The following is a 27,973-nucleotide window of genomic DNA, read 5'->3' on the forward strand; positions in this document are numbered from 1 at the left end:
CTCCGCCTCCCGGGTTCAAGTGATTCTCCTGCCTCAGCTTCCGGAGTAGCTGGGATTACAGGTGCCCGCCACCACGCCCAGCTGATTTTTGTATTTGTAGTCACCATGTTGGCCAGGCTGGTCTTGGACTCCTGACCTCAGGTGATCCGCCTGCCTCGGCCTTCCAAAGTGTTGGGATTACAGGCGTGAGCCACTGCGCCCGGCCTGGTGCATATCTTTCTGGACTTTTCCTAAGTTATCTACAGGCATCTGTTTATACACATGCATACTCATTTACTTATACAAAAATGGAATTATGCTATATGTATTGGTCTGCACTTTGCTTTTATCACTTCATCATTGACTCTTTCCCAGGTCAGTCCATCACATTTTTAAATGGTTATGTGGTATTCCGCGGTATGTGTGCACCGTAATTTACCCCACTGTACTCTCATTGACTGATATTTAGTTTCTTTCCAATGTCTTGCTCTCGAATGATTATCCAGTAAACATCTTTATCCAAATATTTTTATGTTCTTATGCTATTTTTTTCTTTAGGATAGGTCGTTAGAAGTGGGATTACTAGATCAAAGGGTATAAGCAAATAACATTTTTTGTAGATTCTGCCAAATTACTTTTCAAAAATGTTGTCCCAATTAATGTCCACCAACAATGCAATAAAGTGCCTGCTAATTTATTTTTGCTAGTAGAACGGACCAAAAAAAGTTGTAATTTGTGTTTCCTTGGCCATTTGTAAAGTTGAGCATCTTTTGTGTGCTGATTGTCCATTTCTATTTCTTCTTTTGTGATTGCCAATCATTGTATTTTGGGTTGCTCGTCTTTTCCTTTTAATTCATAATAATTACATATATTTGGAATATTATTAGGAATACTAACCCTCACTCTGTTCTATCTGTATAAAACTTTTTTCTCTCTGCTTCTCACCTGTCAGTTGCACTCACATGGCAACAGGCATTTACCCAGAGGTGCACGTGTGCACACAGACCTTTATTTGTTTGTTTTAAATTTTTAAGTTCAGGGTACAGGTGCAGGTTTCTTACATAGGTAAACTTGTGTCATGGGAGTTTGTTGTACAGATTATTTCCTCACCCAGGCATTAAGCCTAGGACCCATTGGTTATTTTTCCTGATCTTCTCCCTCCTCCCACCCTCCACCCTCTGAAAGGTCCCAGTGTGTGTCCTCCTCTATGTGCCCATGTGTTCTCATCATTTAGCTCCCACTTATAAGTGAGAACATTTGGGATTTGGTTGTCTGTTCCTGGGTTAGTTTGCTAAGGATTATGGCCTCCAGCTCCATCCATGTTCCTGCAAAGGACATGATCTCATTCTTTTTCATGGCTGCATAGTATTCCAGGGTGTATATGTATCACGTTTTCTTTATCCAGTCTATCATCGATGGGCATTTAGGTTGATTCTATGTCTTTACTATTGTGAATAGTGCTGCAATGAACATACATAGCACACAGACCTTTATAAAGGCAGAGTGGCGGTTTGCTGTGTTAGAAGTTGGGAAAAGGCATAGGCTTGGCCTCTGGTTTTAGCAAGCTGGTTTGCCAGCCCCCGCTTCTGGCATGCTTGGGAGGCTGTTTTGGGCAGGATTATTTACCCTTCACTGCCTCATTGTTTTCAGCGGGCCCGAAAGCATTGACCATATCCTTATTTTCAAGGATTTTTATGACTATATTTTGCCCTGGATTCTATCCAGGACATCCCTGGCTTTCAGAATCATTTTTCTTTTGTCTTTCTCTAGACTGAAGTGGAAAACTATTTAGAGTTACCCTTGGGCAGGCCCTGGGGAATCAGATACTGGCCGGAAGGCTGCCAGAGGCCAGGGGACTCAGGGGCTCTGGAATGTCCTGCTGTTCCCTGTTTCCTGCCCCTCACTGCCTGGCACGCATAGCGGAGAGCTGGAGGGGCTCAGAGGACAGGTGTTTCCTCCCCTGTATGGCATGTGTCTCCTTCCAGGACAGGGCTCTCTCACTTTCCTGTCACCTGGCTCATTGACGCTAACCAGGGGGAGATACAGTGAGTCAGTGATGAGTTACTCGCAATACATATATAGTTTTAATTGGCATGCGCTTTTCTTCATTTCAAAGAAAGAATGAGAAATGGATACATGGTAACCCTTCTGGAACATTTTTTTTAATTCAAATTTAAAGTTGTAAAAATAGTACAAGAACATCCATATATTCTTTACTCAGATATACTTATTCACATTTTACTCCATTAGTTTTAGTATATATGTTTTATTATACTTATTATTATTATCTCCCTTCCTCCCCCCCCCCCTTTTCTTTCTCTCGTCTCTCCCTTCTTGTTTCTCCCTCTTTCTCTTACTCCTATTTGAAGGTAAGTCATATTCATCACGGTCTTTGACTCCTAAATATTTCAGTGTATATTTCTTAAGAGTAGGGACACAGTTATCAACTTCAGTAAATTTAACACGATGCCATACTTTTTTGTTTGTTTGTTTGTTTTTGAGACAGGGCCTCACTCTGTTGTCCAGGCTGGAGTGCAGTGCTTTGAACAAGGCTCACTGTAGCCTTGACTTCCTGGGCTCAATCCATCCTCCTACCTCAGCCTTCCAAGTAGCTGGGACCACAGGCACAAGCCACCTCGTCTGGCTAATTTAATATATATATTTTTTTTGTAGAGACAGGGTCTCACTATGTTGTCCAGGCTGGTCTTGAACTCCTAGGATCAAGGGATCCTCCTGCCTCAGCCTCCTAAAGTGGTGGGATTACAGGAGGGAGCTACAGCACCTGGCTGATACCATACTTTTATCTAATATATTGTTTGTATTCCAGTCATGTTAATGGATGAAATAATGTTTTTCATTTCATAGCAATTTCCCTTTCCCTCTCCCCCAGTGCGGGATTCAGCCTGTGGTCCATATTGAATTTAGTCATGTTTCTATAGCCTCCTTTAATCTGGAACGTTTCCTTAGTCTTTGTCTTTCATGACAATTTACAGTTTTGAATAATATAGTATCCCTTTTTTCTAATAGAATGTTCCTCATTTGGGATGTCAGCCTAAATAACGAACAGAGAAAAAAGATATTTGTGAGGGAATAGAGCCAGCCGTGGGAATATGCATGCCATAGTAAACCACATGAGTATTTAAGGAGGTAAAGAAACACAAAGGTTTTCAGCTGGGTGCGCTGGCTCACGCCTGTAATACCAGCACTTTGGGAGGCCAAGGTGGGTGGATCATTTGAGGTCAGGAGTTCAAGACCAGCCTGGCCAACATGGTGAAACCCCGTCACTACTCAAAATACAAAAATTAGCCAGGCATGATGGCATGCGCCTGTAGTCCCAGCTACCCGGGAGGCTGAGGCAGGAGAATTGCTTGAACCCAGGAGGTGGAGGTTGCAGTGAGCTGAGATCGTGCCACTGCACTACAGCCTGGGTGATAGAGTGATACTCTGTCTCAAAAAAAAAAAAAAAAAAAAAAAGAAAGAAAGAAACACAAAGGTTTTTTAGAGGAAAAGAGGAAAATAATGAGGATTACATAATTATTTTGAAATATTATCCTTGGCTATAAAAATCAATTACAAGGGTGATTCTGGTCCAGGGTTGGACTGGTAATTAGTGGGCAGATGTTCTTGCAGAAGTGTTTTTTGAGTAAGGCTGTTATAGCCTTTGTGCAAGACTGTGTTTTTGCAGTCTTTTGTGAGGGTTTTTGTTATCAGGCATACAAGCATGAGAACCCTCTCTTCATGGCCTTCCTTAGCTCTTTTTGTTAGGGTTTTCTTAACATTAGCGACTCCATTTTTATTCTGACAACTTTCGTGGCAGTTTGTTTGATGTTTTCTCATGCTTAGATTCAAGCTTGGATTAGGTTACTCATCCCTGGCCAGAACACTGTCTAAGTGATGCTGTGTCTGTCTCCGGATCTGGAGGCACATGATGTTCCTTACTGGGGAACGTTAATTTCAATCACCTGGTCAAGGTGTTGTCTGATTTTTCCATTGCATATTTAAAGTTCTTTTCTCCCCCTTGAAGTTTGTTAAGATGTACTTGAAGATGGTGCAAATATCCTGCTTCTCAAGAAGATGTCCCCCTAAACTTAGCATCCATGGATGATCCTTGCCTGATCCAATCCTTACCATGATGGGTATGAGCTGATTTTCATCTCCAGCACTCCTTCCACATGTACCAGGCTAGGCTGTGTGAGGCTCTTGTGGTCACAGTGGTGCTGGCATAACCCCAGGGCCACCACGCATTGATCCCTACCTGTGCCTAGCACTGTGCCTTGGTGACTCATGCCTTGAGCCTCACCCCTTGGCTCAGGGCCATTCTCTCAGAGTTGAAAGACCTCTGGGTCATTAGGTTGGGTGTCTCATCTCTTCCATCCTTGATAGACAGTGTTGGAGTGAGACAGACACCCATTCTGGGGCTGGATTATTCATTAGAAAGTCCTTCCTTCTATTGGCTACAGTTTTTCTCCCTGACATTTTGAGGATCTTATTTCTCTACCCTCAGGAATGATCAAAAAGAAATCTAACCCTCTTGCATATGACAGCACTTCAAGTCATGGTCTAATATGGTGCTGACAGTCACTGGGTGGGATGGGAATGTGCAGAGAAGCACAGGAACATGGTGAGTGGGGAGGGGAAGAAGGGAACTGACACCTACCAAGTTCTATCTAGGTTCCAGGCACATGTGGGGGGTGATAGGTGTATTAACTGAAATTTTACCAGAACTCTCTGAAGTATTCATTATTTCCTCCAAGCTCCAACAATGCAGGGTGGGTTGTCCATTTTATTCTCATCAGTATCCCCAGTACCTACAACCGTACCTGACCCATGAGTGGTGCTCACTACATATTTGTTGAATGAATGAATGAATGACTTTTACAGATGAGGAAACAGTCTCAGAAAGTTTATGTCATGTGTGCCCAGCCACGCAGCTGGTCAGATTGCAGGGCTAGGTTTCTGGCATGGTAGGATGACTTGAGGGCTCTTATTGTTAAATCACTGAATGATTAATACTTTTGGAAGATAGTTGAGAGAAAGAACATTTTCAAAGTGTTGCTGTAGGTTGAAAGGTACAGTTTGAAAACACTGGGTTGGTGAGTGTGACATCCTAGGGTCAACCACCTGGGCTGTTCCATGAACCCAATAGAACAGGAGCTATGTGGCCTGCCAGCCTTTCTGGATCACTTTCCTTTGGGGCATTTGGGAGAAGGTAGCTTGTCTCCTGTCCACTTCTTTTTCAGTCTGAGCCGTACCCACTCCTCCCATCTTCCTGCAGCTAACATGGCTCTCAGCACCAGGGGCCGTGGTCCTCTAGGCTGCCCCAGCCCTGGTTCCTGCACACCCACATTCTTCAGCTTAAACCGCCACTGACATAGGGGAAGGCCCGGAGTCACTGGGGCAGGGGCTCTGCTACCCTCTGCAGGCGTGGAGGCAGGGCCCTAAAAGAGGGAGGAGAGGTGGAAGAGAAGGGTTCACTGTGGGTGTGGAGGCATGGAGACCACTCTCATTGGTGGCTCTCTTCTGGGTCCTCAGGCATCCTACCACAGGGTTGCCTCTCTCTGACCCACTTGTTTCTCTGGGGTCTCTGCCAGCTACCGTGATGCAGAGCTGCACCCTCAGTGCACCCTTCTCTTCCACCTCCCCTCCCTCTTTAGGGCCCTGCCTTCAAGGCCACCTCCTGAAAACTCCAAATGCCATCCCTGCATAGTGTAGACTATTAGACCTCCCAGCCTCCTCTTCATATGATACTTTAACCCATCTGAAAAATAGAATTAATTAGCTTTTAAAAGCTTTTTAAAATGGCCACTCAAGGCTGGGCGTGGTGGCTTATGCCTGTAATCCCAGCACTTTGGGAGGCCAAGGTGGGTGGACCCCTTGAGCCCAGGAGTTTGAGACCAGTCTGGGCAGCAGAGTGGGAGGCCACGCTGTGCAGGGCCACACAGGGAAGTGCTGGGGTCAGTGCCAGAATCAGTGCAGGGGTCAATCAGGAGGCAGAGAGAGCGAGGGGAACACGGGGACAAGCGCCTTTATTGTGGTTTCCAAGGGAAGGAATGGGCGAGGCAGGGTAAACAGGCCTGGGGACTGGCCAGTTTGAATAATTTCTGTGGGCTCTGGGCACACTTACACGTAGACATATAGCTGTCTATGTACCGACATAGACGGTAGGGGCTGTCCTGAGTTGCTGGAACCTGGCCCTATGGTGCTTAGGACAGGGGAATGTGGGCCCTGAGTGTGACAGGCTGTGGAGGAGGTGTGGGGTATGGGCTCAGAGTGGCTGGTTTGCATATGAAAGGCCTGCTGGTAAGTGAGGAGTCCTTTACCATCTCCAGGAATTCTGGGAAGAGAGTGCCTCCAAGGTCAACAAGGCTCCAGATGTCGAAGCATCAGAAATACAAAAAACATAGTTTGGCATAAGATTAAAAAAATATGGGCCAGGTCAAATGTATAGACTGGGCTCCCCTTCCCACGGATTAAGCAAACCAATGACCTTTCTGTTTCTTTCATGATGCACTCATGGGCCTCTAAGATGGCACAGGAGGCTCACTGTAGAGTTCAAAGCAAAGCCTCAGGCTCTGTCAGCCTTGTTATTTGTGTGAAATCAGGCAAGTCAAACACCTTCCCAAGTCCCAGTTTCCTTGTCTGTGAGGTGGACTGAACTAATAACAGTACCTACCCCACAGGACTAGTGTCCTAATATGTACCTAGTTGATGTAACTGCCCTACAGATTCATCGTGCTGGCTGCCAAGATAGAGCTGATTTATCAAGACAGGGGAATTGCAACAGAAAAAGAGTTTAATACTGAGCTGGCTAAATGGGAGACTGGAGTGTTATTCTTACTCAAATCAGCCTCCTCGAAAATTCAGAGGCTAGAGTTTTTAAAGACTGTTTGGTGGTGATACGGTTTGGCTGTGTCCCCACCCAAATCTCATCTTGAGCTGTAGTTCTCATAATCCCCATGTGCTGTGGGAGGGACCCAGTGGTAGGTAATTGAATCATGGGGACAGTTATCTTCACCCGGTTCTCGTGATCTGAGGTTTTATAAAGTGGTTCCCACACTTCACTCTGTACTTCTTGCTGCTGCCATGTAAAGAAGGACATGTTTGCTTCCCCTTCCCCCATGATTGTAAGTTTCCTGAGGCCTCCCCAACCCTGCTGAACTGTGAGTCAATTAAACCTCTTTCCTTTCTGAATTACCCAGTCTCAGGTATATCTTCATTAGCAGTGTGAGAACAGACTAATACAGGTGTGTTCCCAGACCAAACCGAGGGTCTGGCTGCTTATTCTCATGGCCCAATAATGAGATGAAGATGAACTGGGAAAGAAGAGAGTTTATTTCTGTAATCAGGTACAGGCAGAAGGCCTGGAAAATATCAGCAGATCAACTCGAAATTACAAAGTTTTCCAGAGCTTATATACCTTCTAAGCTATATCTCTACATGTGAGCGTGCATTCTTCTAAAGACCTAAGTGTCTAACTTCTTTGAATCTATAACTAAAACTAAGGTCTGAGTTTTGAAGACCTTCTTCTGGAGCCTCAGTAAATTTACTTAATCTAGGTGGGTCTAGGGGCCAGGGGTGATTATCCTTCGCTTGTCTCCTGCTAAATCATGGAGGTTTGGGGAGATCCTTTAGACCCCCAATAAAACTTGATTGTTGAGGCCTGGGGAGTTTCTTCAGACCCCCAGTAAAAACTTGTTTAGTCCTAAATGGGTCCTGTTAAGAATTCCTTTGTTATCTTGTCATGCTTCAAGTCCCCGGAAAGGCCTGGGCAAAACTCTTGGTGGGCTTTTGTTACATTCCAGCCTTTGTGTGATGGCACTGGCTCTATCAGCTTTGAATGTTTAACTTCACCACTCAGTCAGTGCTGAAACAGCTGTTATGAAGACCTGCCTGTTCAGCTGTTAGCGAGATCTGGCCTGCCACAGGTGGGCAGGGGGCTAGGGAATAGGAGTGCTGATTTGTTGGGTCAGGGATGGAATCACAGGAAGTTGAGGCTGTCCTCTAGCCATGAGTCAATTCCTGGGTGGGGACCACATGACCAGATGAGCCAGTTTACCAGTCTAGGTAGTGCCAGCAGGAATGCAGTGTCTGAAAAATACCTCAAACACCAATCTTAGGTTCTACAATAGTGACGTTATCCATAGGAGCAACTGGGGAGGCTCGGAATCCCGTGGCCTCTGGCTGCATGACTCCTGAGTCATAATTCCTAAGCTTGTGGCTAATCTGAGTTTTACAAAGTTACTCTGGTCTCCAGGCAAGGACGAGGTTTGTTTCTGGAAAGGGCTGTTTTCATCTTTGTTTCAAAGTTAAACTATAAACTAAAATTTTCTATGGTTAGCTGGCCTATGCCCAGGAATGAATAAGGGCATTTTGGAGATTAAAGGCAAGATGGAGTCGGTTGGGTCAGATCTCTTTCACTGTCATCATTCTCTCATTTTTATAATTTTTGCAAAGCCGGTTTCATTAATAGGAGGGTTGCTATTATTAGCATGCAAGTTCCATGAGGTCAGAGACTGTATTTTGTTGGACATACTAAATAAGTATTTGTTGAATGAATAAATTCTAAGATTTTTAAGGAGTTTTTACGTTTTGTTTTTAAATTTAATTTTTTACGTTGGTAAAAACTTTAAGAAGTTGTAAAAACAGAAACTATATTTAAAAACGCAGTGAAAATTCTCCCTGGCCTCTTTGTCCCTGATCTGCCCAGTTCTTGCTGTTCCCTAACAGGTAACCCCTCTTCTTAGTTTCTTATGGATCATTCCAGAGATCTTATATTATTGCTTAATCGCCCATATAGATTCTAACTTTCCTCTTTTTTATGCAGCAAGTAGCTTATTATACATGCTCTTTTGCACCTTGTTTTATCACTTAACAGTGTATCTTGAAGATTTTCCATGTAAGTGAATAATTCCCCATTATTGTTATAGCTGTCTAGTGTTCCATTGTATGAATGTACTGTACTTTATTTACCTGTCGTCTATGATGGACACGTGAATTGCCTCCTGTGTTTTGTTTTGTTCTTACAATGATGTAATAAGACCCAATGTTTTAAAATAAAATTGTTTTGATTTCTTTGTGCTTTATTAAAATAAATTGACTTGGCCACCATGATTCCCACCCTCCCACATGCTGCCTAAGGCTAAGGTTTGGGGGCCACCCATGCCTCCTTCCCTTCTGCCATACGGCAGTAGTAGCACCCCTGGATGGTGAGTTTGGGAACTAGTTCTTTTTCTACGGAGGAAAAGCATGTGCCCTGTCAGACCTCAAGCTGCCTTGGCCTCTCCTTCCCTTGCCCATGCCAGTTCCTGCCTTCTCTTTCTTTGGGTTGGCAGCGGCTCTTTCGGTCCCCACACTTCTCCACCCCCCACATTCCAATGGCTCCAGAGCACAGCTAGCCAAGAGGTCTGAGGAGGCTGGGAGCACCTGTGGTGTTTTCCTCCATGTGGGCTGCAGGGGGTGTGGCCAGGACCCACGGGTGTCATTTCCACCCATGTAGGCTCTGCTCTGCACACACTCATAGCTGGCCCTGTGCAGGACCCCTGGCCCCCTCCTTGCCTCATCTGAGCCTCTGGAATCCTGTCTGCCACTTGCCAGGCCCCTGGTTGGTGCCGACTGAGAGTGCAGCATCCCTGATGAGCAGAGGGCACCTGGCCCTGGAGCCTGTGCTTCAGTCTGACTCCAGATGGGGCGGGTCTCCTCAAGGGCCCCAGACCTAGAGGCCCCTGGATAAAGCCACATCTCCTCCATCCCTGTGAAATGAATGGATGAATGATGAGTGGCCTTCTGGGTTTTCTGTGACCAACCTCAGACCCCTCTAGCCTCCCAGGGGTCCCTCTTCTGCGCCCCCCACCTCTCCTCCCTGAGCAATGCTTCCTGGGAGGCTCTGAATTTCTGACTCTTGTGAACTTGACTACCACAGCCTGCTCCTTACACTGCGGGAGAGGCAGCCTGCCCTGCTATTTCCAGCCCTTCCTTCTACAGGAGTGGGGGCTGGTGAAGCCACCCTTCTTGGAGGGACTTGCCCCCAGGCCGATAGCAGGGTTTGGGGGTGCATTTCATGGCCCCAAAAAGCATTTCAGGGAGGAAATAACAAGCAGTCAACCCTGGCTGCTGTCTCTTGGGCATCCAAGAGGCACCCCAGGCTGGCAGGGGTGGGGGTGCTACTTCCTTCTGCATTTCCTGCCATTGTTCCCTGACCCACTTCCGGGAATTCTCCCTGGGCTGGGAGGGCTGGACAACCAGCAAGGGAGGCAGAGGAGGTCTGGCTTTTCTCGGCACCCTATGACCTGGCTGCTAACTCTGCTCTGCTCAGTCCTGAGGGCTCCTAAGCTGGAGCTCCAGCTGCCATGTACAGCTCTCTGGTCCATGAGGCCTCCTTGGGCCCTGCCTCCCAGTCCCCAAGGAGAGAAGCCTCAGTGCTCTGGGGGATTGACAGGGAACCTAGATACCCGGGTCCTGGGGCTGACTCAGCCATTCTCCTGCTTGAACAAGTCACTCCCCTCTGCCACCCCAGTTTTCTCGTGATGGGCAGGGTTACTCTGATCTCTGATGTCGCATGGACTCATGCATCCTCTATACCTACTGTCTGGTCTTTTTGACATTGTCTGGGTCCTGAGGACAATTCAGTCAACATACTGACGGGTGCCTTCTGGCACCAGCCCCTAGGATGGAGACACTCCAGGAGCCCCAGCTTATTAAGTGATGGTAAAAATCCTGCTCCATGCTGTGAAGGAATGGAACACAAATCAGTTTACATTCTAGAAAATATGGCTCCTAACACTGTGAGGGGGTTTCAAACCCTGGATTGAATATTAGTGAATATCTCTCCCCCTCTATCCCCTTCTTTCAGAAAGGGTTAGAAAATGGACCTTGAGCGTATATTACATTTACTGCCTTGCTAGCAAGGGCACGAGCAAGGCGGCAGAGTCTGTTGCTTTCAAGAAGGATGGAAAAAGAGGGATTTCATTGTTGAGAAGCTTAAATAAGTGGCTAGTTTTTAATTTTAAGTTTTATTATGATAAATCGACATAAACGCTACCATTTTAACCATTTGTGAGCATACATTTCAGTGGCGTTACATGCATTCATGATGTCATGCAGTCATTCCCACCGTCCACCTCCAAAATGTTCTCATCTTCTAAAACTGAAACTCTGTAACTGTTCAATAATAAATCCTCACTTCCTCCTCCCCCCAGCTTGTATCAGCCACCATTCTACTTTCTATGAATTTGACTACTCTAGCTACCTCATACAATATTTGTCTTTTTGTGACTGGCTGATTTCACTTTGCGGAATGTCTCCAAGGTCCATCCATGTTGTAGCATGTGTCTGAATCTTCTTTTTTGAGACTGAATAATATTCCATTGTATGGATGGACCACATCTTGTTTGTGCCTCTGTTGATGGAGACTTGGTTTGCTTACACCTCTTGGCTATTGTGAATAATACTGCTGTGAACACAGGTGTGCAAATATCTAGGTCCCTGATTTCAATTTTTTTGGGGGTATATAACTAGAAGTGGAATTGCTAGATCATATGCTAATTCTAGGTTTAATTTTTTGAGTAACTGCTATGCTGTTTCCCACAGTGGCTGCACCGTTTACGTCCCTACACACCATGCACAAGCATTCCAGTTTCTCCATATCCTGGCCAACACTTGTGATTTTTCTCTCCATGACTCTGTGTGTGTGTGTGTGTGTGTGTGTGTGTGTGTGTGTGTGTGTTTATAATAGCCATCCTAATGGATGTGAAGTAGTATCTCAGTGTGAGTAGTCAGTTTTAAAAATCACCTCGTTAGGTCGAGGTTGCAGTTTTATTTGATAGGGTCATAAAAATCTATATTCCAATCAATATTTGCAGAGACCAGAAAAGGGATGAGCCCAGATGACAGGTGTGCTGTTCATCCATCAGGAAAAAGCAGTTAATAAGTACACCTGTGGCTGTTCACCAGCCTAACATGGCCTTGTGCCCTGACAGTAATGTTCAGGGTAAGTCCATTTCTCAGGGAGGCAAGCAGAAGTCACACACAGACACCAGGCGACAGGTTCCTACAGTCACAGGCCACTCACTGCCCATGGTTTCCTGCTGCCTCTACAGAGGGGCAGACTATATGGTGAGCCCACTTCATAGCTTCCTCTGCTCTCTTTGAAGGGAGCATGTGCCAACCATCGCGCTGCTGACCTACTCTTTCCTAATAGCCCATACATGTGCCCCACCCCTCCTGTCAGTCAGAAATGCAGCCTCTGGTGCGTGTGGTATGGACCGCCCAGGGCCTCTCAGGAGTGGAGCCTGTTTCCCCTGCCCCAATATCCTTTTCTCCCTGTCCCTGAAGACAGGAAGGTTTCCTTGCTTTTCATGTACAATCAATCACTGCCGGCGGAGCCCTGGGATTCCAATACAGACGGCCTGTGTAGACATGGGTCATATGATCTGCTGGGGCTCAGGGGCAGTGTGGGGGTGATGAGATACTGACCTGGTGGACTGTCAAGGGCTCATGGGAAGACAACCCTTCATCTCTGGGGAGGCGTGGCTGGGCCTCTGGGGAGGGGCAGGAAGGGGTCAAGGTGGACCTTGGAGAAGGAAAGGTATCTCTTATCCCTTCCCATGCCCAAGTATTTCCCTAGGGGCCAGGCCTTCCAGGGATGGTGCATGGTGGTGACTGGGTGTGGGGGTGCAGGAGAGCCCTCGTGGGGTGCTGGGTGACTGTGTGGTCTAGGCAGACCAGCCTCATCTGAGTGGTGGCAGTGAGGGGTCTGGCAGAAGAGCCAGGGTGCCTTAGGCTAGTTTTCTACATTTGACTTCTCTCTCCTCTCAGGTTCCTGGGGGAAGCCAAGGTCCCACTCCGAGAGGTCCTCGCCACCCCTAGTCTGTCCGCCAGCTTCAATGCCCCCCTGCTGGACACCAAGAAGCAGCCCACAGGGGTAAGTGCCCATCAGCCTCTGCCAGGTTAAGGTCCAAGGCATTGCCAGGTGGCTTCCTCTTTGGGCCTTGCCATTCTGACCCCAGACATGCATCTGACTTCAGCTCCCTTGAAGCAGGCCTGGCCCTCCCTGACCAGAGTTTGCAGTGTCTGGAGGGGCACTGGACTAGGGGAGATGGGAAGGGCAGAGGGAGCCCTGACCCCACCTGCAGGGCTCAAGTCAGCCTTGGCTCGCAGCAGCTTGGCCTGCCCCTTGGTCTGGTGCTGCCGGTCTGGCCACCTCCTGTCCCCAGCTTCCTGGTCAGCCTTGGCTATAGCCCACCTAGTCTCCCTGGCAGACCTCCCCTCCTCCCTCACCATCCAGCCCTCTTCTCCAGATTCAGAATCTCTGAACCATCTGGGTCACAGGGCATGAGGGATGGAGGGAAAGAGCCCTCTCCCCTGCCCACCAGGACCCTCTTCCTTTTCCTCCGTTGTTCTTCCTGCCCCTCCCTGGCCTTCTCAGTGCTCCCCCCAAGTCCAATCAGACAATTCCCAGCCCTCCTCTCTGCCTGTTATTTTTAGTGAGCTAAATATACCCTGTAGGGTTCTCTCTTCTTGGTAGAATTCCTGACCTCTCCTGTGGGTTAGCCCCGCCTTCCAGGATGTACCAGGAACCATGGATTGGAACTACTTCCGCCCTGTGAGGCCTGGGGGATTCAGGCCCTGACTTGTCTCAGACAGGGCAGTGGTACTGCCCCGTGGCGGGTGTGTGAGGCCGGGGCTCCTGGCTGGCTGGGTGAGTCAGGAAGTAGCCGGTCTGGGCAGATCTCTGAATGGAACGAGACTGGATGCTGAGACCTAGAGAAAAGGAACCACTGAAGTCACATAGTCAGTGGCTGTTCCCATGGGGGCCTGGACCAGGAGCTCATCCCCTAGACCCTCTGGTGGAATGGCTGTGGATGGACTCCTGGTTCACTGAACTCTCAGTCTGCTGCCCTCTCGGTGCTGGACTTTGCTCCCAAGGGGTCTTAGGCTGGGGATGGCTGGGCTGCTCCCTTGATGGAAGATGTCACTTCCCAGGAAAGTCCATCTGTTTCCCACACAGGGCTCACTGGCAGAATGTTCTGGTTTAGAGCAGTATTCACTGAGCCTGTCTCCATCACCCTGAGTCCCCTCTCATCCTCCGTTTCAGCCTCCTGTCTCTTAACACTCCCTGTGGTCAAGGAGGACCCCAAGGAGTTCTGGAACTACCCCTTCAGGGGTCCTGAGGAGGCTCAGACCCAACCCTCAAGGCATGGGACACAGATGGAGGGATGATAGGTATCAAGGCAGCTGGCGAGAGAAAGCCTTGGGGTCAGGCTTGGTTCTCACTTCCTTGCTGGGACACCAGCATCTCTCCACTCCAGCTCTGTGTGCATCCATGACTCTGGTGTTTCCTGCCCTTCGGTCCCTTCCAACCTCAAAGGCCTGTCCAGCCCCGAGGCAGAGTTTTCCATAGCTGGTCCCTATTCATGAGCCGTGTCAGGCTGGAGCCATCCCCTCCATACCTCCCTTCGCCTCCTCCTGCTCCTTGTTCCCACACTGTCTGGGCTTCATGTTTACCAGCGGGGAGCCTGCTGCCTTCTCTTCCCTGGCTGGGGATTCCTGGCTGTCTGCAGAGCTTTACAATCCTTCACCAACCGTGTCTCCAAAAAGAGTGTGTGAGATCCAGGAGGTGGCGGATGGGAGAGAGTGCTGGACCCTGCTGGGTTGAGCCCCACTAGCTGAGCACAGGCTGGAAATGGAGTTGGGGAGCCTCCTCCCTGTTGCCCAGGAGGCAGTCCTCACCTGTACAGAGGGTCTAGGACTAGATTCTAGTCCATGTGATGGCATTAAGGTCACAGTGCAGCCCCAGACAGGTCATATGTCCCTTTGGGCTGGGGCTTCCTGCCTGGGACCTGGGCTGGCTGCACTGTAGTGCGAGGCAGGGATAACTGGGGGTGTGCTGGGCAGGGACAGACAGCCAACAACATTGAGGGTTCTCGCTGGCCGCTCACTGAGACCTCATTTCTGAGCTAAGCCCAATCAGCAGAGCATGCCAGGTGCCCCCATTTCATTGTAGCTCTCAGTTGCCTCTAAGGGCCAAAGAACCTGCTGATGGGGTGATACGAGTGAACACAGAGCCAGTGGGATCCTTAGGAAACTCTGGCAGACTGAGAGGCGTGGGGGAGGCCGGGAGTCCTGCCGCAGGCTGACTGCAGACCCCGTTTGCCTTTTGCTCAGTGTTCTCACCCAAGTCCCTTCAGATATAGCACGCTGGGCTGTGTGCCATGGAGGATCTGGCTATGTGCCAAATCTACCCTCTGACAGCTGCTAGGTTGATGGGGAAAACACTCCCCCAGTCCTGGAGGAACCTCCAGGCCATGGGGATTTAGGACACACATGGAGGAAAAGAAGCAGCATCCTCTCAGATGTATTTTAAGAGGAGCTCACTCAGGAAGGTGTGGATACATGGAGAAAACTCAGTCGGCATCACCCGGGCCTTAAAGCCAGAATCGGATCACAAAGGAGGACAAGAGCCTACGAAGCCCAGTGGTGTGTGGGTCAGGGAAGCCAGGAGGGCACTGTGTGTTGGGAGCGGGGACCTGAGGCGGGCAGGACAGTGCTCAGTGAGTCCCTGAGCTTTCTTCAAAGGTTTGGAGCTTCTGCCAACCAACCCTGTATCAGCTCAGGGCCACAGCTACCCTCTGCCTGCTTCTGGAGGTTGTCTGAGGGAGAGGTTAGTGAGGGCCACGCACATATCAGGCCTGTCTTGTCCACACGGGACACATGTGTTAGGGGAGGTGAGAGTGGGCTGGTCTGGGTTTTGGTTTTGATGAGCTCAGTGTTGGAGAGCTGTGGTCGAGGAAGTAGGTGGCGCACAATGGGCTGGGCATGGCAGGGTGGGCGAAGGACCCCAGAGCCTGACCACATAACCTGGAGGAGGGTCACAGCCAGGGAGGGTCTGAGGAGGTCATTCGCCTTCAGTTTCCTGAGCCCTCTTAGCCTGGGGCAAGACAGGAGTCTCAAGTTCTGCTGATCTCGTTGATTGTGGGCCCCAAGGCAGCAGACGAGGGCGACCGAGGTTACCCTGCTCCAGGGCAGCGTGTTTGGTGGACACACGATTGACTGACAATGGCCTTGTGCGTGGAGAACCCTGGAGTGCTGCTGAGTTGGAGACTGAGGACCTGGGCTGTCAGGCGCGGGACCCGTGACGTGGAGGACCTTGAGGAAGGTCCCACTGGGAGCTCTAGGCCCAGGTTGTGTAGTCCGGGAGAGCACAGGGCTCACATATATCCCCCAGGAAGAAAATCTTAGCTCTATTTGTCTAGAGAAGGAGACAGGGGTTGAGCTGTGATGTCATGGTGAGGGTACAAGGTCCTGGTCCTGGGTGGGGCCCACTGACACGCCCACTTTCCCTTAAGAGCCTCAGCAGAGCCAAAGAACTTCAGTATTCACCATCAGATCCTGAAGCCATGGTCCCTGGGGCCCACCTCCTAGTGCTGAGGTCTGTTCTAGACCCTGAGCTCCAGAGCCTCTGGAGCTGCAGGGATGTCCCTGTGGCTCTCTGATGGGCAGCTAGAAGACAGACCTGTGCTGGAAGTCTCATTCAAGGGCCCAGAGCAACCCGGATGGTGCCAGTTCTTCAGGAGGTTGGTGTGGAGCTGTCGGTGTAGAAACACCGGATGCTCAGGAAACCCCAGAAGGGGCTGCCTAAGTGGTCTCTGGAGCCCTCTCTCTGGAGAGGGCTGCTCCTGTCTGCATCCCGGAGAGGGCTGCTCCCAAGCCCCAGTGCTGAGGAGCTGGCACTGGGCACGGTGTGGAAGAGTTACACTCCGGCGGCTCCACCTCTCACAGAGATGGTGTATAGAAGCCCCCAGGTGGTGTGCAGTGAGTGGATAGCAGGGTGAGCCCCTAGAAACAGGAAGGGGCGCTCTTCCAGGGGACCTGTTTCCAAGGTCAGAGGCCCAAGGGCAGCCCAGGTGTGGCCCCTTCAAGTTTTTGCTTCACTCTCCTCAGCTCAATGGGGTCCACTCAGACCGCTTGATTTAACACTGCAATCTGCAAAATGTCTCATTCCCCTGATCCTTCTTGCTCTGGTTTACTTTTTCTTTTCTTTCTAACATACTCTCTTCTTTATGTATTTATTTTGTTTATTATTTATTGTCTGTCTTCTCTGCCAAGACATCAGCTCCATGGGGGCAGGGACCTTTGCCTTATTTATGGAAGCGTCCCCAGAATCTTGAACAGTGTGTTTGGCCCTGGCAGGTGCCCAACACACAGGCACGTGTGCGCGCACACACACACACGTAGAGGGAATGAATATGTGAGTTAATGAATGAATGGGTCAGGCCAGACATGTCAGGCAGGGCCCTCAGTGTTCATCTTTCAGATGTGGGCCCAACTCAGGCCAAGTCAAACAAACACCCCCCACAGGCCTGGCCTCTGGGGCCACTGCACGGAGCCCTGCGCTCACAAGGGCCTCATGCTTGGCTTAATTCTCTTCTGTTTCCATCTTGAAATTCTTAAAGCTCACTGCATCCTTGACCTCCGGGGCTCAAGTAGGCTCAAGTGATCCTCTCGCCTCAGCCTCCTGAATAGCTGGGACTACAAGCATGGCTACCACGCCCAACTAGTTTTTGATTTTGGAATAAGGGGCTCTGCATTTTCATTTGTGCTGGGCTTGCACATTATGCAGCTGGTCCTGACCTCATGCTAATCTTGGAGGGCCGGAGTCAGCATGGATGGGCAGGGGGCTTTATTTGTCTCTGCCTAAGGAGATTCCTGTGGCTATTCCTAAAAAGAAGCAGATTTTCAAAACCTTTTATTTGGAAATATTTAAGATCTAGACAAAAGTTGCCAAGTATGGTACAAAGAGTATTTTGTCCTAAGCCATTTGACATGAGGGTGCCAACCTCCTGGCCCATCATTCTGAACTCGAGTGTGTGTTCTCCAGTTAAGGACTTTCTCCTACATAACCACAACACAGCCTTCCAAACGATGAAATTAACATGGACACAGCACTCTCGTCTAATCCCCAGACCCCAGTCGCGGCTCATCCATTTTTCCCAGTGTCCTTTGTAGCAGAAGGATCCCACTAAGGCTCATGTGTTGCACCTAGTTGTTTTGTTTCTTCAGTTTCCTTCCATTTGGAATAATTCCTCAGTCTTTCTTTGACTTTTATAACCTTGTAGCTGGATATTTTTTTGAAATTCCGGCCAATTATTTGTAGAATGTCCCCCACATTGGTTTTGTCTGATGTTTCCTGTGTTTAGATTTAGGCTGTGTGTCTTGGGTGTGAGTGTAACACTGATGCTGCGTGGCTGTCTTTGTGCCCTATCAGGTGGGATGATTGTGATTCGTTTGGTTACCACACTGTTAACTGTGATCATTTGATTACACTAGCATTTGCTGGGTGTCCCCGCTAATCGTTCATCTACTCCCCTTTCTCATGTCAGAATTTTGTGACTTTGTAATATCCTCTTTGTCATCTAACCTTTACCCGTGAGTTCTATGAGCTGTTGTTTTGTATTTGTATTTTTACTTTTTTTGAGACGGTATGTCACTCTGCTGCCCAGGCTGGAGTGCAGTGGCACGATCCTGGCTCACTGCAGCCTCCGCCTCCCGGGTTCAACCAATCCTCCCACCTCAGCCTCCCAAGTAGCTGGGATTACAGGGGCATGCCACCACACCTGGCTATTTTTTTTGTATTTTTATAGAGATGGGGGGTTTTACCATGTTGGCCAGGCTGGTCTTGAACCCCTGACCTCAGGTGATTCACCCACCTCGGCCTCCCAAAGTGCTGGGATTACAGGCGTGAGCCACTGTGCCCAGCCGTCATGAAGTGTTTTTGTTTTTGTTTTGAGACTGGTCTCATTCTGTTGCCCAGCTGGAATGCAGTGGTGTAATCATGGCTCACTGCAGCCTTGACCTCCCAGGCTCAAGTGATTCTCCCACCTCAGCCTCCTGAGTAGCTGGAACTATAAGCGTGGGCCACCATGCCTGGCTAATTTTTTGTTTTTTGTAAAGATGAGGGTCTCACTATGTTGTCCAGGCTGGTTTTGAACTCTGGGCTCAAGAAATCCTCCTGTCTCAGCCTCCCAAAGTGCTGGGATTATAGTTGTGAGCCACTGTACCTGGCCGTACCCAGGAGTTTTAATATCACTGCTGTTTCTTGGTTGAATTCATTATTGCTTTGATGATTGCTAAATAGTGATATTCTCAGTTATTTTTCCTGCATTAGTCAGTTGGCATTTCGTGGTCAGGAAAAGCTTTCTCCTCTCCTATTTATTTACTGTGGTATGGATTTGGGTATTTCTATTTTATTCAATTGTTTAATCTGTTACTGTTATTATGTATTTTCATGTTTCTATTGTCTCAGATTTGGCCTGTGGGAGCTCTTGAAAGTTGGCTTCTGTGTCCTTTTGACATGTTTTTACTTTTTATTATTTATTTATTATTTTATTTTATGTTTTTGAGGCAGAGTCTTGCTCTGTAACCCAGGCTGGAGTGCAGTGGTGTGATCGACTCATTGCGACCTCTGCCGCCAAGGTTCAAGCGATTCTCCTGCCTCAGCCTCCTGAGTAGCAGGGATTACAGGTGCATGCCACCACGCCTGGCTAATATGTTTGTATTTTTAGTAGAGATGGGGTTTCACCATGTTGGCCAGGCTGGTCTCAAACTCCTGACCTCAAGAGATCCGCCTGGCTCGGCCTCCCAAAGGGATTACAGGCATGAACCACCTCGCCCAGGCTCTTTTGATGTGTTTTTAAGAATCAGTCATTCATTGAGCATTTCCTTCCTTTCTGGTGCAAGAAGATGGTCCAGGCTCATCTTGTATCTTCCCTGCCCTAGCCCTGGAAGTAGTTATTTCTCCAAAGAGCCCAACTTACCTTTTGCTGAAGTGGAAGAAAGTCCCAGGACAGTTGTTAAAAGTGCAAATACCCAGGCCCACCCTAGACCTACTGAACTGGCATCTCTAGGAGTCAGGTGTGGCATCTGGGCGGAGGGGAGGACTTTCTTCTTTTCCCCTCCACGGGTTGCAGGAGCTGAAGGGACTGGCTGCTCACGTGGCGACACCTGGTGGTGATTCAGGAACCCACAGGGCAGGTTATGTTCATTCCTTGGGTGAGGGAATTCAAGGGTCTCAGTTGCCTTTGTTGACCTCCTCCTGGGTCTCCTGGGATGCTGAGCTAGCTCTTGTCTCCTTCCTCAGTGTTCTGAGCCCTGCTTTCCACCAGTGCTGCTCTCCTTAGTGTGGCTGTCCCCAGGCCCCAGTCTGGAGAGTTCAAGCTCAAGAGCTGAGTATGTCGGGAGCCTTCAGGCCCTTCTCTCTTGGGACTGAGTTTGCTCTGTGAGTCCCTGGACGTCCCTAACATCATTCAGCAGAAAGGTCCAGTGAACTGTGCCAGAGCCACTCAGAGGGACATTATGCCTCAGGAAAAATTGTGTTTATAAAGGGTTTGTCAAAACCTGGGGAGAGCTTATTGCCTGACATTCAGTAAAAGAAAATCATTTTGCATACAGCAGATCTGTCTACTATTTGTTTGAAAGATTGGAGAGAACTGGAATGTGGAGTCACGGAATTATGGACAATTGGTTTTCTTTTGCCTTATTTTTCCTCTTTAAGCTTTCTGTGCTTCCCAAACTTTCTTAGAGTATCCGTTGCACTAATTTGAGAGACTGGCTGCCCCAGGAGGCTTGCTGGACCTGTGGAGCCGGGACAGGGCTCAGGCAGGCCCGGGAGCAGCCAGGCTGCAGATCCTGCTGAGGTTGTGCCGTTCCCAGGTTCAGGGTGAGGGTTGGGGTGGGGTGGGCGCATGGGCAACCCGACCTCGCCTGTGAGGGATGTCACCAGTCCCTCTCCTCTCTGGCCGGTGCAAGCCGGGGCAGCTGAGGATGTGCTGGGGGGCAGGAAGGAAGAGGGCTCTGCAAGCCTGGCAGCACACTGAGACCCTCTCAGTGCTAGCTGCAGCCTGAGCAAAGCAGAGCAAAGCTGAGTTGTCCCTGGAGAAGTAGGGGCAAGCCATTGACTGAGCAGAGTGGCCAAAGGGACATTTTCCTGAAGACAGGCCAAGTGGATAGTGGGAAAAATCCTGCAGGTGAGGTTGGATCCCTGATTCATTTGCAGAAGTCCACTACGTGCTACATCAACTAATTTGCTCCACATTTGACCTGTGAGGAAGGTGCTATTGCTATGACTAACCCCAATTTTATAGATGAGGAAACTGAGGCACAGGGCGGTCACAGATCTTGCCTAAGGTCACACAGCTCCTGAGTGGTGGAACCTGACCCCGGATTCTGTGCTTCGAACCACCTGACTATGCTGATAGGTCCCTTGGGGTGGCTTTGCCACAGCCTCCTGCAAACCTGGCTCTTGTCAGAGCCATATTCCTTGGTGGAGGGATGCCAGAAACAGGGAAGATACTGGAGGGCAGTGGTCCGAGGCCAGCGCACCAACCTGTCCCCCACGTCTCATCTCTTCCAGGCCTCGCTGGTCCTGCAGGTGTCCTACACACCGCTGCCTGGAGCTGTGCCCCTGTTCCCGCCCCCTACTCCTCTGGAGCCCTCCCCGACTCTGCCTGACCTGGATGTAGTGGCAGGTGGGTAGCCCACGTTGGCCTGGCTGGGCCCCAGCAAGAAGGCCGGCAGTGGCACTTGAGCCTGGGGGCTGGGAGCTGCAGCGAGGCTTCCCAGCCTTTGCTGCCCTCCCCAGGTTGGAGGCTGCCCAGGCCTGGAAAGAAGAGGGTGCAGTGGGTGGGAAGTCCTGAGGGCTGCCTTCTGCTGTGCAGAAAGAAGGGGCAGCAGGCACGTTCCCTTGGGCGGTGCAGGGAGTAATGTGAGGGTGCCTCCAAGCCCCAGCTGCCTGGGGACGGGGCTGAGCCCAGGCTGGGTGTTCTGAGCTGTGCAGTTCCAAGAAGGGTGTGTGGGGATGGGGTCTGACCCAGGTGATACCTGAGGCCCCACAAACTCCCCAGAACCGAATGTTTCCCTACCTCAGCACCCAGCAGGCCTTTGGTGATGGTGTGTGACAAAAGAACTAGTTTTTTTTCTTGAAAGAGCCCTGAACTGAACTTCAGGGTTCCAGTCCTGCCTTTGACACTGAGTCTCTGTGTGACTTTGGGCTGATTACTTTCCCTCTCTGGGCCCATAGATTATTTGTGAAGGGAGCAGACTAAGTTAGCTAAGTGCTGTGCCTGTCTCAGCTCTCTTCACTTGGTTCTGCCAGGCTGGTCAAGCGAGGACCCAGCCCGGGGTGGCTGGCTCTCCACTGGTGGGCCTGGGTGTGGGAGCCTCCATGTGGTCCAGCCTGCTGGGGTTGGGAGGAAGCTACATAGACGGGCTAGTGGGCACTTGCCCATGGGAAAGATTCTAGAGTTTTTCTCTTAGTGAAGGGAGCTAGAAGCAAGCACAGCATTAAAACCGGAGCAGCCCATGTCTCAATTGAGTGTGCCCTGTGCCTGACCTGGGGCCAGCCCAGCACAGGGCTCTGTGGTGAGGTCGGCAGAGCAGAGCTGTCTTGTTGGGGCTCAGCACTGTCCGAGCTTAGAGATGGGAGATCAGTCTGGACTGGAGTAACCTGGTAATCCTGAGCTGTGTGGCTGGAGTGGGCTCAGGGGAGGAAGGAGAGGTGCCCGTGGTGGCAGAGGGTGGGGAGCAGGGAGGGTCCGAATACTCTGGGACTGTGTTGAGGTGGATCTGACAGAGTTAGGTGCAGGCCAATCAGTGGAGGCTTCCAGACACGCCTGGGAGGTGGTGAGAAGGAACAGGTGCCACTGGGCTCCACAGCTATTTCTGAGCTTTGCACCAGGCTGGGGTGGGCGGGGAAGGCAGGGTTGGGGATGGAGGTGCAGTAGGTTGGTTTCCTTCACCCCAACCTCCTCCCTCCCCTCCCGGGGTTATGCCCTGCCCACAAGACAGGCGGGGGACAGAGCCGGGCCGAGACTTGGTCCCTGCTCAGTGACAGCACCATGGACACGAGATACTCTGGAAAGAAGTGGCCGGCCCCCACGGGTGAGACACGGGCCAGGACTGTCCTGATCCCAGACCCTCCCTGTAACTGTCTCACTAGCTGCCATGGTCAGCTTGCTGGAGCGGGGCCAGGTGGCAGAGGACTCCTCCTGCAGGACTTGGCGGGTGGGAGGGCTAGGGCCATTCTGTTTTCTTCCTGTTGACTAACTGGACTGACTGCCCTCAAGTTTCAGCTGCTGGAAGCTCCTCTTCTTTCTACCTTATCCATCCTGGCTCACTGATGGGGAGGGAGGAGGGAGAGGAAGAGGGGATGAGTCTTAGGGCCCATGCCTTTTGGATCTTCTGCCCCCTGGGCTGGGTCCCAGGGGCAGGGGCAGGGGCAGGGCCAGAGGGATCCAGGCCTCATTAGGGCCCTCTCCTCTTAGACACAGGAGGAGAGGAAGACACAGAGGACCAGGGACTCACTGGAGATGAGGCGGAGCCATTCCTGGATCAAAGCGGAGGCCCGGGGGCTCCCACCACCCCAAGGAAACTACCTTCACGTCCTCCGCCCCACTACCCCGGGATCAAAAGAAAGCGAAGTGCGCCTACATCTAGAAAGCTGCTGTCAGACAAACCGCAGGATTTCCAGGTGATGAACGGGCTTTCTCTGACCCCAGGCTCCTCTTCAGCCATCAGCTGCGGGTGCCAGGCACCTGCCTGGTTTGTCCAGCTTCAGGGGAAGATGTGTGTGGGATCCTCAGGGCCCTCCTGTGGGGGAATCTGTAGTTTCCCTGGGCCTGGGCAGATGCCAAACAGGGAGTTCACATCTTACATCCACAGAATAAGCTTCTGCCGAGACCTGTGGTTTTGCGCTTAAAAAAAAAAAAAAAAAAAAAGTCACTGCAGAGATTCAGCATGTCTTTGCATCTCTGATCAGAGAAAAACCTGATTTTTCTAACCAGGGTATATCCAACCAGCAAGCTCCTGGCTATTCAGGTGTGGTCTGTGTCCAGCACCTTCCGCATCACCTGTATACTTGTTAGACATGCAGAGTCTACTCAGACCTGCTCTACCAGAATCTGCATTTTAACAAGATCCTTACCTCAAAGAAGCTCTGTCTAACATCTTTTTTTTCTCCTTATATCTATCCCCCTGCATATAGCCATGGATTTTTCTGAGAGTCATGTGGAATTTGAATTTGTTCAAGCTCATCACAGAATAAAAGCTATTAATATGAACACTTTGACACATTTTTATCCAAAAATCCATCCCATTTTATTTGCTTTTAACTTTGGTCCTTTGCCTATTTTTTTTTTCTTTTCAAAAGAATTTTCTATTTTGATGTAGTCACACAGTGATATTTAACTCTTTACAACTACTTTTAAGGTTAAAAGCAAGAATCTTAAATCTCTATTTATAATACTAAGTGCAACAAATTGCAAAAATATATTTCTATTCTAAATCATGGTAATTTAAGCAGAAGTCCTAGCTCTAACCACTGTTTGCCCCAAAAGACAAAATTCTAGCCCCCATACTACTATTCCCCAAACATGTTCATATTGCCTTTGTTCTCTTTATGGAAATACCATATGTTTATTTTAGACACTTTGGAAAATATATTAAAATGAGGAGATTAAAAATCACTCATCCATCTTCCCATTGCTATTAAGAATATATCCTCCCATATTATGCAATTTACAAAAAAAAAAACAGTTGGTCAGTAAATAACAGTTGATTCTAAAGTGGAGCCAGTAAATATCTTATTTTTTTCCATAGAATTGCCTTAATATTGTAAAATTTCATATTTTAAAATATCTTACCTAATATTTGGAAGCATAGACGTTCTTGAAGTCTTCATTTACTTACAGCTCAATGGCAAAAATTCTTAATTTATTTCTCAGAATGTAAGAAAGCATTGCATCTTATAAAGAATAAAGACTATTTCTGGGGTCACTTCACTGTGTAAGTTCGACCTCTGAGGGAATTGTCAATAAAGAATATTCAAGCCACTTAAAAATGCCAGTATCAATGGGGTCTCGGGTGGGGCTTGTGCCAATGGCTGAATGACATAAATGGGGGCTGTATCTGCCCACCCCTGGGGTTTAATGTGGGTAGCCGACGAGGGGCAGCCTGGCAGCTCTTCTATGGAGCTGTGGAATTTTATAGATGTAAGGGGCCTTGGTGGGAAAATATGATAGTTCGTATAATGCTCTTCCTAATTCCTTTTTAATACTTTCCCCAAGAAGCCAGTGGTGAGATGGTCCCTGAGATTTCTGACTCTTGGGGTGGATGGTGGGTGGTCCTTAACTCTTCCCCCTTCCTCCTGCTCTTTCCTCCTTCTGGCTTTCAGATCAGGGTCCAGGTGATCGAGGGGCGCCAGCTGCCGGGGGTGAACATCAAGCCTGTGGTCAAGGTTACCGCTGCAGGGCAGACCAAGCGGACGCGGATCCACAAGGGAAACAGCCCACTCTTCAATGAGGTGGGAGACATGGGGCATGAGGGCCAGAACCTTGGTGGGCCTTCCAATCTGGAAGCCCAGTGCAGACACCTGGCAATTCATTCAAGAGTGTTTACGTATGGCGCTGACCTTGGGTGGTGAGATGTGCTGGCTCCCAAGGAGGTTATCTGTGGGACTGGAGAAAGGGCTCCTGCTCTTACTTCTCCTGCTGCTCCACATCCCTGTCACCCTATAGGGCCAGCCACCCACCCAACCCTGAAATGACCACGTCTGTGAGGCCAGGGGCAGATCACCCCAGAACTTGTCCAATCCCCAGAACTGTGCCCAATCCACATTTTCTGAGGGGACTAAACTGCTAGGCGTGGAGGCTTGGGGGTGGTGGTCCTCCCTCTCCCTGGCCTGAGGGATCAGCAGGCACTGATATGTCTCTCTTTGCTCTGAACCAACAGACTCTTTTCTTCAACTTGTTTGACTCTCCTGGGGAGCTGTTTGATGAGCCCATCTTTATCACGGTATGTCTCAGCAGTCAAAGTGTTCTCCGTGGGCTGTATGTATGCACATAGGTGTCAGTGCACACGCGTGTGTGTTTGTGCACGTGTGTGCATGTGCACGTCAGTGTGAATGCGTGAATGCGTGTGTGTGCCTGTCGGTGTGTATGTGAGTATGTGCGTGAGAGGGAGACGTGTTAAAGCCTGACATATGGATGATGTGGAGTAACTCACAGTCAGGCTCTACGGGTCACAGAAATGCCTGCAACAGCTCAGCTGGCAGGCAGCAGCTGCGGGAGAGCCCACTGCTCAGCATCCCCCTGGGGCCTCAGGTCAGGGTCCTTAAATCACTTGTGGCAATGAACATTTAAGGTTCCATCTTATTTTGTTAATCCACGTGCCTGCTTCTGACTGAGATTCTCTTTCTCTCTGGGCCTTGGCTCTTCCCCCATCTCCTCTGAAGCGCACTGCAGCCTAGTGGCTCTAAGTGTAGGCTCCGGCACTAGAGTGGATTCCAGCTCTGTCTATGCCGTGTAGGGATTGTGTTTTCTGTACAAGTCTCTGTGCCCCTATTTCACCTGTGAAATGGGGATAATGACAGTATCTGCTGATGGGGTTCCTGTGAGGGCTAAACACTGCTTAGAACAGTCTCTGGAATTGAGTAAGTGTGAAGTGTTGGCAGTTATTGTTTGGGAGGGAAGAGCTATTGGGTTGGCCGTGTGGGCCACATGTTCCCTGTGAATGTGAGTTTCCATGATCTTTCTCTGCAGGTGGTAGACTCTCGTTCTCTCAGGACAGATGCTCTCCTCGGGGAGTTCCGGGTAATTGCTTATTTTCTATGAAAGCAGTCAGTTCTCACTTCTCCGTGTTGGTGGAGCCTCTGTGGACCATGGGCAGGGGCTCCAGAGATCCTGTGTTTCTCTGCTTTGGGAAAATATAATTTCAAAGAACAACGCCAAGCCCTCTGCACAGCATCTCCTTTCACCCCAGAAAACCTCTCCACAAAGGTAGAAGAGAAAGAAAGCACTTTTTGTCACTGAAGAGGCCTTAAACCAGAGTGAGATGTACATCACAGGCAATGATCCACTAAGATGCTGCAAAGACAGAAAGAAATCTCACGCTAATTTAGCCAGCGGGTCCAACCCATTGCCCACCACATACGTTCTCAAGAGAAGCTATGCCCCACCCTCAGGTCAGGGGACTTTACATTTCAGACCTCCTGAGAATGACATTTGTATACTAAAGCTGACAAATGGCTTATTTAGTTTCTTAAAAAGATGTATAGCACCTTTGGTCACACCGAGTTCATCCCAAAGTCACCTGGTAATCGGGGTGACCATCTATGTTAGCTAATTTGTTGTGTCCAGAAGACCAAACAAAAATCAAACTCATATTTTTATGACAGGAAGTAGTTTTACAACTTGGAGCAAGGTGCGCACGGGAGTTAGGCTCCTATCTTCCGACAGAAGCTGGGACACAGGGGAGCCGTCTCCCTTGGTGTTTATATTTCAGACGTCCTGAGAATGATATTTGTATACTAAAGCTGACAAAAGGCTTATTTAGTTTCTTAAAAAGATGCATTTCAAAGAGACAGGGAAAGTGTAATATATTTACAAGTTTTCTAAGGTAAGTGTTCTGACAAAAAGAGAGGGGAGGGAAGTACTTCTTCCCTTATTTCCAACAAGCAGAATCAAGACCCTTATTTGTAATTTGGATTTTCCCCCACCTCTGGGAAGGCCGTGTGAGATCTGAGTTTGGGCAGCCCTCCTCCTCATCCTGGCCATCTTGGGCCAGTGAGACCCAGCGCTCTCTGCCCTGACATCACTCTCACCCTGGGATGGGAGTGGGGTTCAGATATGGATCCCTGGGGGAGGGAGAGGCAGTGGAGAGAGGGGAACCCTGCCCCAGCCTCCTCACTTGTCCCAGACAGTCCAGAAGTGAATAGTCCTCTTCTGAGAACCGAGAGCCAATGGATTTAACAGATTACGTAAAGTAAAGGTAACTAGTAATTGCACAGACTAAAGGAGACCTGTATGATTTTTTTTTTTTTTTTTTTGAGATGGAGTCTTGCTCTGTCGCCCAGGCTGGAGTGCAGTGGTGTGATCTCAGCTCACTGCAACCTCTGCTTCCCAGATTCAAGTGATTCTCCTGCCTCAGCCTCCCCAGTAGCTGGGAT

At 49.4% G+C, this 27,973-nt stretch overlaps 1 protein-coding gene across 14 annotated transcripts in view, besides 7 other annotated features; it reads left to right on the top strand.

Moving 5' to 3' along the window:
• Window positions 1-27,973, top strand: part of DYSF (dysferlin) — a 233,203-nt gene that overhangs the window by 36,861 nt on the left and 168,369 nt on the right. For 8 of the 14 annotated variants that reach the window (NM_001130978.2, NM_003494.4, NM_001130977.2 and 5 more), the window contains exons 4-9: window positions 12,793-12,898; window positions 21,386-21,500; window positions 23,295-23,500; window positions 25,202-25,330; window positions 25,759-25,821; window positions 26,568-26,618. In NM_001130978.2, the coding sequence (NP_001124450.1) occupies window positions 12,793-12,898; window positions 21,386-21,500; window positions 23,295-23,500; window positions 25,202-25,330; window positions 25,759-25,821; window positions 26,568-26,618 (670 nt within the window). Of the gene's footprint in view, window positions 1-12,792; window positions 12,899-21,385; window positions 21,501-22,818; window positions 22,912-23,294; window positions 23,501-25,201; window positions 25,331-25,758; window positions 25,822-26,567; window positions 26,619-27,973 lie in introns of all 14 variants that reach the window. The other 6 variants (NM_001130979.2, NM_001130981.2, NM_001130980.2 and 3 more) reach the window with 1 other exon arrangement.
• Window positions 455-3,662: an enhancer, noted in NCBI's record as "VISTA enhancer hs2170". NCBI's record gives its function as "enhancer in: blood vessels[3/3]" and the evidence as "EXISTENCE:transgenic organism evidence [ECO:0001131][PMID:17130149]".
• Window positions 9,848-10,526: an enhancer, noted in NCBI's record as "H3K27ac-H3K4me1 hESC enhancer chr2:71727399-71728077 (GRCh37/hg19 assembly coordinates)". NCBI's record gives its function as "activates a minimal SCP1, AML or CMV promoter by ChIP-STARR-seq in primed H9 embryonic stem cells {active_cell/tissue: H9 hESC(primed)}" and the evidence as "EXISTENCE:reporter gene assay evidence [ECO:0000049][PMID:30033119]".
• Window positions 12,886-13,385: an enhancer, noted in NCBI's record as "H3K4me1 hESC enhancer chr2:71730437-71730936 (GRCh37/hg19 assembly coordinates)". NCBI's record gives its function as "activates a minimal SCP1, AML or CMV promoter by ChIP-STARR-seq in naive H9 embryonic stem cells {active_cell/tissue: H9 hESC(naive)}" and the evidence as "EXISTENCE:reporter gene assay evidence [ECO:0000049][PMID:30033119]".
• Window positions 15,078-15,372: a silencer, noted in NCBI's record as "tiled region #7639; HepG2 Repressive non-DNase unmatched - State 20:ReprD". NCBI's record gives its function as "represses a minimal TATA promoter and a strong SV40 promoter by Sharpr-MPRA in HepG2 cells {active_cell/tissue: HepG2}" and the evidence as "EXISTENCE:reporter gene assay evidence [ECO:0000049][PMID:27701403]".
• Window positions 16,132-16,633: an enhancer, noted in NCBI's record as "H3K27ac hESC enhancer chr2:71733683-71734184 (GRCh37/hg19 assembly coordinates)". NCBI's record gives its function as "activates a minimal SCP1, AML or CMV promoter by ChIP-STARR-seq in naive and primed H9 embryonic stem cells {active_cell/tissue: H9 hESC(naive and primed)}" and the evidence as "EXISTENCE:reporter gene assay evidence [ECO:0000049][PMID:30033119]".
• Window positions 16,634-17,133: an enhancer, noted in NCBI's record as "H3K27ac hESC enhancer chr2:71734185-71734684 (GRCh37/hg19 assembly coordinates)". NCBI's record gives its function as "activates a minimal SCP1, AML or CMV promoter by ChIP-STARR-seq in primed H9 embryonic stem cells {active_cell/tissue: H9 hESC(primed)}" and the evidence as "EXISTENCE:reporter gene assay evidence [ECO:0000049][PMID:30033119]".
• Window positions 21,592-22,091: an enhancer, noted in NCBI's record as "H3K4me1 hESC enhancer chr2:71739143-71739642 (GRCh37/hg19 assembly coordinates)". NCBI's record gives its function as "activates a minimal SCP1, AML or CMV promoter by ChIP-STARR-seq in primed H9 embryonic stem cells {active_cell/tissue: H9 hESC(primed)}" and the evidence as "EXISTENCE:reporter gene assay evidence [ECO:0000049][PMID:30033119]".

Source organism: Homo sapiens, chromosome 2 (genome assembly GCF_000001405.40).
Source record: "Homo sapiens chromosome 2, GRCh38.p14 Primary Assembly".
Classification (NCBI taxonomy): Eukaryota; Metazoa; Chordata; class Mammalia; order Primates; family Hominidae; genus Homo; species Homo sapiens.